The 10073-nt window shown below is 34.9% G+C and overlaps 1 annotated feature.

The window, feature by feature from the left end:
- Positions 8716–9439: an enhancer, noted in NCBI's record as "OCT4-NANOG-H3K27ac hESC enhancer chr6:79861851-79862574 (GRCh37/hg19 assembly coordinates)". NCBI's record gives its function as "activates a minimal SCP1, AML or CMV promoter by ChIP-STARR-seq in naive and primed H9 embryonic stem cells {active_cell/tissue: H9 hESC(naive and primed)}" and the evidence as "EXISTENCE:reporter gene assay evidence [ECO:0000049][PMID:30033119]".

Raw genomic sequence — 10073 nt, forward strand, 5'->3', positions numbered from 1 at the left:
TCTTTGAACAAACCCCCTGGCACTAATTCAATCCCAAGTATAGTAACTGCTCTGCCCTCTCCTTGATTCTCTCCCTTACCGTGTTTTTGCTCACTAACCTTTGCTACCTGGACTCCTCTTGCTTCCTCTTTTCTCCCCCACAATAACTGTCTATTGTAACTCAAATTGCCTTTGATCCCTAGCTCTGGCTTCTGGATTTGCTCTGCACTTATGTTCATTTGGTTTCACCTTGACTCCTTTTGGTTTCTGACTCTCATTCCTGGGCACATTATTGCTAGGTGCCTGCATGTTTAGCTGCTTCCTCTGGCTGCTTCGTGGCTCCTCCCTAACAACTCCCAGCCAGTCCCAGAGTATGGACCAGAACATTAAAAAGAGGCAAAGTTAATAATCAACAATTTTGGAGACAGATGATGTGCTTAATATAGAAAAGAATCTTAGTTTTTAAAAAGTGTTTTCTAACAAAAGCAAGATCCACAATGACTAAATTCTGTATAGTATGACTGTGAACACTTGATAAGTGAATGAAAAAAACACCATTGTATTTCGGCAGGATTCTCTTGTCTCTTTGCTTATATTTTGAACAAAAGAAAGATTTAGAATATAACAATTTTTGACCTGTAATTCAACTCAAATGACAGAATGTGATAATCAAGTGAATAAGCATTATAGAAATACCCAAAATTAATGGTTGAAGTAATGTCTTGATATGTCAGCTTTATTCATAGCCCAAGCCTTGTCATTTATTTCAAAGCCAAATTTAAAGAACTATGACTAATAATTATAAACATCCTCAGAATATTTAAAAAAGACCTTTCCTTAAACATTTGGTGAGCTTTATCATTATTATTATTTGGTCAGCTCTTTTCCAGCATTAATATTATATATTGAAGGGGACATGTTCATTTATAACACCTCAGGCATGCAAAGTAAAATTCACTTCGATATTGCTGATGCTATAAACATTTTCACCTATCACAGGAGACATGCCAGAGCACTCTGGTCTTTATTGTAAGACATTGTATCATTAATATGGAGACATACTTTAAATCCTTGAAATGGATAGCTTGTTTAGTATGTATTTTGTGCCATGCTATTTTTATTTAATGTTGCATAAATAATACATTACAATATATTAGTTATTCCTTACCTTATGTGACTTCTGCTACCAATGATTTTTAAAATGTAAATAATTGTATATAGTTTTCTCTTAAAAAAACAGAACTCTAACGTCAATGACACCTAAAAATTATAACATACACCCTCCACTATTGGCTTTCAGAACTTTCATTATTCATTGATTTTTTCAGCCATTTATTCACTAGGTACTTACTGAAAGACTTTCTATGTGCCAGGCACTACCATGCAAGGTGCTGAGTACATGGATAAACAAGATATGATTATTCTTTCAATGAGCTTATAGTTTAGATGGAAAGTTAAACAGTCATGCAAATAATTAGAATACAATATAAGATAGCTTAAATATAGTTATTTATAAGTTGCAGATTTCAGAGCCTTCTTTCTGTCTGCAGTTACGGAAAGCTACAGAAAGAAAATAAAATCTGGGCTGAATTTGTAGAATGAACATAGATTGCAGAGGTAAGATATTTAGAAAGCACATTCAGAGAAGGAGCATCTATATTTGAGAAAGCTGGAATCTTATGAGGAGAGACACTGAGGCATATGAATGCACAGGACATGTGGGTAACATTGAACAGTGCAGTGTGGCTGGAATGTGGGGAATATATCAGAGATCATATGTAGATGGAATGATGGGGAAGGAGAGGGAAAGAGCATATTCATTTTTCAAGGGTCTGAAAGTAAACTTGGTCTGAGAAGTGTAGAAATGATATTTCAGTGATTTGATAAATTCTTGTGTAAGAGAAAGGGCAAAAAGGCAAGTGGGAGTGAGCACTATATAGGTAAGGAGATTTTCAAGATGGCTTAAACTCAGCATTATTTGTGATAGAGACAAAAGATTTAGTAAAAAGAGAGAGAGAGACAGAGAGAGAGATGAATGACACAAAAGGTGAAAGAAACAAGTCTACATAGTCTTCAAATCTGTTTCATTTTCCCTGTCATAGGAACAAAGGAAGGGGTGTCATGTTGATGTGGGGAACCACAAGATCATAGCTGCCTGAATTCATGAGTAATGAAATCAAAGGCAGTTGCTCTGGAGAGGTAGCAAAAGCCACAATGAATTTGGCTTTATAAAATAAAAATAAATAAAAATTTTATTAAAACTTTAAAGGTAGTTTTCTTTGGTTACTGCAATATAGCATCACCGACCCTGGCCAACACAAAAATTTAAAAGTCAATACTTAATGGTCATACAAGTCAAAGGAGGCAAAAGAAGATTGATTCAAGGTCATAAGTTAAGAGGCTTAGAGAGAAATAAGACCACTTCTTCTGAAACACATAGGAAAGTTTAGGGAAGGACAAAAATACAGGACATTTTGGAGGCAAAAAATGGGGAAGTTGAAGTAGTCTATTCATAATGGCCAATATATTCTTGTGATATTAGAAATTAAGTCTTCTGTTGAGAAGTTGAACGACAAGATTGAAGAAAGTAAAATTACAGAGCAATTGCTAAGGGAATAGTTATAAGGAATGGAAAGAGTCAGTTAGACAGAAGGAGAAGAACTGCAGAGCAATGATACCAACCCAGCGAGTCTGTAGCATTTAGAGTGGAGACGGTCAACATGATTTTGTCATTTTCTACAGCAGTGATTGCTAACTTGAGAGAAGGAGTAGAAAAAATAAATGCTTGTGCTCATAGTAGGGCTTAGAAAACAAATTACAGGATGAAGAGGCAATCTCCAGAAAGTTAAGCAAGTTTGGGAATGTGTAGTTGAAGTGATTAACAACCCAAATATGTGTAGTGATCAATTTAAATAGGATGAAAGTCAAAAGGAGGCTGATAGAGCAAAAGATTCTAGAAGAAACCAGTGTTTTAATGGAATTAAAGGGCAAATGTAGCAGGACTATAAGTGTAAAAATGTTAAAAACCGGAGGTTATTCTTATATAATGCAGTGGTTGAGCAGGTTGTCTGGGTTTTAATAGCAGTTCTGCCCCTTACTAGCTGTGTGGCATTAGGGAAGTAAGTAACATTTTTTTTTCTTCTGTGCCTCACACTCCTCATGGGAAATTTTAACCTACATCAGAGGGTTTTTGTAATGACTGAATGAGTCAAACACATAAGGCTCTTAGAATAGTGCCTGGCACAAAGTGCTCTTGTGTAAGTTGTTCTAATGGTAGGATTTACACAGTCATGGAGATGAATGTTGAGGTTTAACTGAGATGAAGATGGAAAGAAGATAAGAAATTATAAGATGAGGATTTAGTGGATCTTCAGTGTGGGCCCTGCATATTCTCAAGATTCTAAGGAGAATCAAAAAGAAGATTTTGAGCCAGTGTGGCCTCAGTTGATACAGGGATATCATAAAGTAATGACCATGAAGATGGAAAAGGAGAGTGGCATAACTATGGCATGAGCTTCAAGATCCATAATCTAGCAGTCTAGAAATGTTTTCTACCCTTACAACTTGTCACTGAGACACAGAGGGCATGAGAAAATGAATAGTGTCTCAAGAGTTTTCAGGAAGTTTTTATCAAGAAAAAGTCATGCTTTTGCCTACATAGAGAGGCAGAAAAGAAAGAAAAAGATGCAATTATGCAAAATCAGTGGATATATATGAATGAGGAGTCCTGCAGGCACTTTGGACAAGATCAGTTGTAAAAGACCAGAATCAGTAAGGGGAGATGAAAGTATAAAAAGGTAAGATATTTCCTAAAAGGGAATGAAAGAGTATGAACCTTGAGCCATCATCATGGGTAAGAGATGAGAAGTTAATTTGCTTTTGATTTTTGTTTACCTCAAATTCACAAAGCCATTTTCTTTTCTACGTAGGCCATTTATAATTTTTTAGAATGCATGTATTCTTAGTTTTAATCAGAGCTACTGACTGTGGGGCTCTTATGTAAACAAAGAATAAATACACTTATCACATTTAGGATTATTGAGGAAGAAATAATTCCAAGGTTATTTAAACTATTTCAAATCTTACAAAATGATATTGCGCTTGCTGATACATTTTATGAAGCTGGCATAATGCTAATACTAATGCCAGACAGTAATAATAATGGAAAAATAAAGTAATAGTCCAATTTCACTTATGGATATAGATGCAAAAATCTTAATTAAAAATTAGCAAATAAAATCCAGCAGTGTATCAGCAATGACCTAGTGTAGTTTATTGCAAAGACTGTGTCATGTCAGGAGCTCTTTCAACATCATAATTTATTATACAAGTATATTCATGGATTAAAACCATATTAATCGATATTGAAAAGGCATTTGGTTAAATTCAGCAGCCATTCCTACAAAACTCTAATAAAAAATATGAATAAATGAGAACCATCTAAATACGATAAATGCACTCATGCAAAACCAAGAGCAAACATTATTCCAGGCATTAACTTAGGAGAGTTCATTTAAAAACTATTACATGGGAATTTGGTAACATGCCTGTATATGTAATACCTACTCAAAAAAGGAATGGTGTGGTTCTATGCTAGAAATAATCTCTAGAATTAGAAATGTAAAAAAAAAAAAATCCACTTACAACAGTACAAAAGCATTAAAATATTTTTAAATATATTTAATAAGAAACGTAGGGGACCTATAGGATGAGAATCATAAAATCTTATTGAAGGGCTACAACATCAGCTGAACAAATGGAAAAACACCCAGTTCTTGTACAGGAAGACTTAATACTACAAATATGTCAATTCTGCCCAAATTGTTTTATATATTTAATGAAATTCCAATTAAAACTCTCTGCTCTCAGAAAATTGGATTATTCTACATTTTATATGGAAGAATGAATGTTCAAGAGAAGCTAAGAAATGTAAGAACATGAAAAATAATGATGAGAATCCTTGCCAGATATTAAAATATGTTATAAAGTCTGCATAATCAAAATGGTTGGATATTAGCATAGGAATAGACTAATTGATTAGTAGACCAGAATAAGAATCACAGAATACATGGGAACTTAATATAGGACAAAGGTGGTATTTCATTTCAAAGGGAAGAGAATGGTTTATTTAGTAAATTAGCATATTTCATTTGCATATTAGTAGCACAATTATTATTTGAAAAAATTAAAGTTGAACTACTATCTCACATGATATACAGAAATACTGCATTTGTCTTAAAAGTTAATAAAATAATAAAATTTCAAAAATATAAAATTTAGATAATATGTATAACCTACACAGTAGGGATACTTTTTAAGGCAAGTTAGTAACCCAGAAATTATTAAGAAAATACAAACCCTGTACAAACGCTGGGTTTTTTTTAATAGGAAAAATTATCTGTGCTTGTTAGAATACATTCAGCTGCAAGTACCAAGAAATCCAACTTACATAGGCTTAATAAACCATGAGGGAATGTATGGGCTCACACTGTTAGATGTTCAGAGGCATGGTGGCCTTTAAAAGTGGCTTAACCCAGTGTCTTTATCCAGTGCGTTTCTCTGTGATTCTCTCATCTTTGTCCAATTTTTTGAATTGGCTTCCTCCTGAAGCCTGTATCAAGAAGGCTACAGTAGTTTTTCTGGAAGTGACGTCTATACTTGACAATGGCCGAGAGAAAAAGAGCCAATTTCCTCCAATGGCCCTCTCTTCAAAGTGAGGAAAGAAGCTTTCACAAGATTTCTTCTCACATCTCATTGGCTCCAACTGGCTGCATTTCTGAATCCCCATGGGTAGGGAAATAAATTGATTGGCTTAGGTCTCATGTATGTATAAACAAGTTGTAAAAATATTTAGCTATTTAGCTGTCTTCATGTGGGAGATTTTGTGTAATTTTTACTTTCTGCCTTATATCAAATTGAATTTTTAAAAATAAAATACATTATCACTATAATCAGAAAAATTATAAAGCTATTTTATTGTGGAAAAAAGTTCTTTCATAATAATAGTGAGCTGGAGAGTATGAACTTATATATCGCTATATTGGTTCATTTTCATCTGTGTCCTGGCAGGAAGTCTTCTTTTAAGAAATGTAATCACCTTTTAAAAAAGGTGATTTTTTATATTATTTTTATATTATATATTTGGTCCCCAAAATATTATGTTTGAGAGAAAATTATTCTCCAACAATTTGCAATGAATTTAATAATGTTTATTAAACATTTTAATAATTATAAATAACTATTAAGTGAATAATAAAATAAGTTTAATAAGTTAGATAAATAAGTTACAAAAATCGCATTTCTTTAAACATATATTTTTTAAACATTTATTTATTAAACAGTTCAAGTAACATTTACTTCACATCAAACTTCTCTGCTTAGTCAGAACAATGAAATAATTGACAGACAGGCTGAAATTACATTTGTATCCTAATGGTTATGCCTGTTTTATGCCCTTGAAATAGTAAGTTATGCCACTGTCCTCTGAGTGAAGGAAACACAGTAGTGCCTTTCCATCATGTATCCAAGAAGAATTATGAACAAATTCTTGGGGTAGGCTGAGCATCTTAACAGTGGCAACAGCAGAGGTGTACAGGGTGTCCCCACACTCACTTCCAGAACTTGGTCATCTCAATTTACCAGCGGTTCTTATTTAGGTTCTCATAGCCCAGAAAATTCTGCCAGGGTACTACACATAGTGGGCTATTTTTAGCACTGGGCCTGCCTCAGGAAACTGGAGAACTTGAACACTCATTGACAAGGAAGTAGAAGACAGCAAAGACTTAAGAGAGAAAGATGAGATGCTTTATATTTTCCTCCTGTGATTTTATTTGGCAGCTCATCATCCAGTTAGGAAGGTCTAAGAGATAACGAAGATATAAAGTGCTGAGTAGAGAGATACACACTTGGGAACAGGAAAGATAGCTGGCAGTGGGAAGGAGTGTGAAACATTTTTTACATGGAGAGGAGGAAAAGCTGTGGAATTGGGTTACTTAAACATAGAGAGGGAGTTAAGAGCAAAGAGGCTCTTTCTGGAGAAGTTGATCAAGACCTGAAGTGAAAATCTTTAAAAGTTCTGAAAGAGTGGCTAAAAAATAATTGTAAATTACTTACGATAACTTTCCAGCCATGTGATTTTAAGCGAATTATTTAAACTCTCTGAGCCTCAGTTTTCTTATTTATAAAATGTAGGTATTTAATACCTACCTCACAGGGTTATAATGAGGCTTAAATGAGTGAAATGTATAGAAAATACTCAACATGATGCCTAGAACATGGGAAACACTTATAAAAAGTGGCTATTTTTATTACATTGTTTTACATTTCACGTTCTAAATAAAATTGCTAGTGTTCATAAAGAGGCAAAATAATAATAATAAACTGTATAGTAAAGAGACAGTCTAGCTCTTGCTTCTCATACACATACACTGACACACAAGGAAATAAATTACAGATGTATTCTTTGTGGCATAATTCATATACAACAAGGCAATGCTCAAGAGAGCTATTATACTACATCACTCGGACACTGTCCACCTTTGTTTTGTAGTTATTCAGAGAAGAGGGGAAATCTCTTGAACTATCATGAACATGGGTTAAGTGTAGTATAAGTCTGAGGGCAGACCAAAGTAAATCAATTTATCTCGTTTAGACACTCTGTACTAACTAAATGTAATAGATCCCAGGGGCAAAATTAGATGGAAGATAGGTAAATGCATCAGTATGCACACAATCAAAGAACAAGAAAAAGCAATGTAGTGCATAAGGCCTCCAGTTGATATGTAGCAAGAATTATTAATTAAACTTCAAAACAAGAACATGTAAAATTAATATTAGAAAGATAATTGTGTGTTCTAAGCAAAAGAAAATAACTCACAGGAGGTACTGCTGCACTGTCCACAATTTTAGACTACATGACTTCTAAAATCCTTTTAACTCTCAGTAAAAAAAAGTAGCATTATCATTCCTTTGTATCAAAAAACACCATAGATGTTATCTCTTTTAATGTTGCCTTTTCTTCAACTTGATTTTTTTTTCATTTGGTTTTCCAGTGAGAAGCAATTGATACTGGAAGTCTTGGAATATGGCATTTCATAATTTGCATAACAAATATCAGCTCTGCTCTTCAAGAAGACTGAAGTTTTTTTGGTTTTATAGTATTTTATAAAATTTTATAATTTGTACTTAAAAAATTGTCAGCAACTTTCATTTAAACATCTTATTTTAAATTCTTCCAGTTATCTACAGACACACACACACACACACTCCTTCTCAATGCAATCTAGAAAGGAGCAAATGTACAAGATTTTTTGTCTCCACTATTTTTTCTTTTTCCTTGCAACAATATCCCCATTGACTGTATCCTAAAACTAAAATGAGCAGAAATAAGCTATCATTCTTTTCCCATGTGACTTCTTGAGGGAAGCCTCCAAGCAACTTAAAATTCTCCCACCATTTTTAGGTTTTAGGAATTGGGAGATAGATGGATGGAAATTAAAAAAAAAATCTTCATAGACAAAAGAAGTCTAAGAATGGCTATTGCAGGTTAAGTCCCCCAAAAAGTAAACTCTGAGATAGAGACTGGTGTGCAGAAAGTTTACTGGAGACTTCCTGGGATTAACACTTTGGGAGAAGGGAAGGAAGCAGGAGATAACCAAGGAAAAGATGGGCTGTGATATAGTTGCTATAAGATTTCAGCTAACTCCTGGAATTAGGCCAGCCTTTATTCTGGATGTGAGATCCTTAAGGGAAGAAGCTAAAAATTAGGTAAGAAGGCTCTCTACAGCTCAGGTAAATTCTCAGAGAAAGCCAAAAGCTGGTAGCTGTCAGCAGGCAAAATGCCTAACTCCAGGGAGAGTAAGACCTGTAGCAGTAGAGCAGTAATCTGGGAAATGCAGCACAGCATCCACCACAGAACGTGGACAACAGATGTCATCCTTTGGTCAAGGGCTGGCTGTTAATGTGGGGTGGACTGAGGGTGGAGATAACATTTGATTGGCCCCCTCCCTCATATTCACATTCCTACACCCTTTGCTTTTCTGCCATTTCATCTGCCGTTGTTGTGTTGGCAGAAGGATGAAACGGCCGAGTGCAGAGAACAAAGGGATCAATTCTTTGCTTTTGAGTTTCAAAACTGTAGGCCTCAGCAAGACAAAAGTATTTGGAAAAAGCAGGAAGTGTAAGATGAGAAGCCTTCTCAACCCCTCCCAGACTAGATAAAGATTCCTTGGGCTTTAGTGAGGAGAAAGGTGGAGCGAAAGTAAACAGCACTTAGAGGCCTGTGAATTCCTGGGGTAGAACTTGGGGAGCTGAGAACACAGGAGTGAAGTCAAGACACTCCAGGAATGTACAGACTAGTAGGGAAAACACATTCAACAAATAAACGCAATAAAGTAAATTGACTGATATGATATAACATACAGGAAGGGAGTATAACCTAGCTGAGGAATATGGGAATGGCTCACTAAAAAAAGATATTTAATTGGAAACTTGTAGCATAAGTAGATATTGTAAAGGTAGAGAAGAGAAAAAAAGTGTTTCTGGGAAAAGGAAGACATGAGCAAGCACAGAGGAAGAAAATATGGTGTGTTTTAGAAGTTAAGAGAAGTCGGAGATGATTACTAGAATACAGAAAGAAGAGGAACGCTAGGAAAGGTGGGAAATCCATTAGAAGTTTGGTGATGTAATCAAGAAATAAGACACGGAAAGATTAGGAGGAGCACTGAGAAAGTTTGAAAACAAATGGATTGGAGAGGTATTTAGGAGGCAGCATTGATGAGATTTGGTGATTAATTGCTGTAGAAACAAGAAAGAGCTGTGGCAAAGGGGAAAGATCTAGTGCAATTGCTGGAAAATATCAAAAGTCCAATCTAGGATGGTGACCAAGAACTGTACCACAGCACCAATTATCCATGGGCACAGTATCAGTGTATTCATACATACCTATAAATCAAATTATTTCTGAAGACCTTTTGCCTTTGGTCTTCTCATGCCTATGGAATTATTTTATGCATCTTCATGGATCTGGAGAGAAATAACTACCTCTATGAGTTTACTTAGGGATTCCAGCCATGTGCACTAATTTCCTAGGGGGA

The sequence above is a fragment of the Homo sapiens genome, chromosome 6 (assembly GCF_000001405.40).
Source record: "Homo sapiens chromosome 6, GRCh38.p14 Primary Assembly".
NCBI lineage: Eukaryota > Metazoa > Chordata > Mammalia > Primates > Hominidae > Homo > Homo sapiens.